We start from the raw sequence: 1,518 nt of genomic DNA on the forward strand, positions 1-1,518 counted from the left end.
GAAAGGAATCAATCAAATACAAATGAGGTCATATCTATCTAAATAATATACAATCCAATTTGCTGTAACTTTCATCAGTCTAGGATGAAAGAATTTAAAGATTCAACAAGAATACTGAATTTGACTTGTGGTTTAAGCTCTGACATCCAAAATCTTGGAATTCACCACCCCTATTCTTAAAACTAGAAAAATTGATACAAACTGAAAATTAATGTCTTTTATTGGACCTATCAGAGAACTGAGGTTACAGAGCAAACTGCTACCAATGTCTAGAGACAGGTGAATCCAGAGAGTTCACAAACAAGATCCTTTTATTTATAAAACATCTTCAGGAGCCTTGAACTGACAGGAAGATTTAAATGGTAATTCTGACAAATTCCTAGACGTGGAATGTGGACTAGTGTGAGAATAAAAAATCTCAGTGAACCACAGTCACAGGAAGGTCCTCACACTTTCATGGACAAAACTTTCAGGAACTGCACCAGGATTTTAGGGTAAAGATCAGAGACAGGTCCCCTGCTGGTTCTGGTGTGGGGAAAAGTGGAATCATTGTGAAATATTCTCAAAGCCTTCTCCATAACAAAAACCTACTTTACAAAGAAAAAGACTACCAGAGCTTCATTCCAGCTGGGAGAAAATCCTTCCTCACCCTCCAGTCCCTTTTAGCCTTCCTGTCTTATATAAGGGGTGATGGGAGGGCATAATGAGTATGGGTCAAGGCTTCAAGAAAAATTGACTGGAAATGCTGCAGCCAGAGAAGTGAGAAAGGAGCTGGAGTGAAAAATAAGCATTTCTATTAAGAAAACAGTTATGAAGGTCACAGCCCAGAGACACATGTCTATGAAAAGACTGAGACTTAATCATAAATTACAGAATCTTTCCCCTTCCTAGCATCTTGCCATCACAGCAATAGGGCATCATCGGAAGAATTTATTACAGCTAGCTATAAGAGCTGCAAGGCACAGGGTCTCTCTTGGAAAGAGTACGTAGGGAAACTCAAAGTTAAGATGAGTGGCATATGCTAGAACACAAGAGAGATTTGAAAGCTCTGGCCCTTGTAGTCACAGAAAACATTAAACAGCCAATTCCCCCACTAGGTTAACATAAATACTCACACTAAAGATCTATTTAGCTCAGTTTCTTTTACCCAGTACATGTCTAGCTTTCAATAAAAAATCATAAGGCACTACAAATGCAAGTAAAAATATAATATGAAGGGATAAAGGAAGCATCAGAATCAAACTCAAATATGACACAGATATTAGAATTATCAGACATGGCATTTAGAATACCCATGATTTGTATGTGAAGAGTTCTAATGGAAAAAGTAGACAATGTGCAAGAACAGACTAGTAATGTAAGCACAGAGGCAGCAAATCTTCGAAAGGCTCAACAGGAAATGCTAAAAATTTTAAAAATTGCAAGAGAAATGAAGAATGCCTCACACTGACGTCAGTAGAACATGAAGAAAAAAATCATGAGTTTGAGGTTATGTTGAAATGCAAAAAGAAAAGAAAG

General features: G+C 37.3%; 1 annotated feature.

Moving 5' to 3' along the window:
• Positions 287-873: an enhancer, noted in NCBI's record as "NANOG hESC enhancer chr4:35920037-35920623 (GRCh37/hg19 assembly coordinates)". NCBI's record gives its function as "activates a minimal SCP1, AML or CMV promoter by ChIP-STARR-seq in naive and primed H9 embryonic stem cells {active_cell/tissue: H9 hESC(naive and primed)}" and the evidence as "EXISTENCE:reporter gene assay evidence [ECO:0000049][PMID:30033119]".

Source organism: Homo sapiens, chromosome 4 (genome assembly GCF_000001405.40).
Source record: "Homo sapiens chromosome 4, GRCh38.p14 Primary Assembly".
NCBI classification, from domain to species: Eukaryota; Metazoa; Chordata; class Mammalia; order Primates; family Hominidae; genus Homo; species Homo sapiens.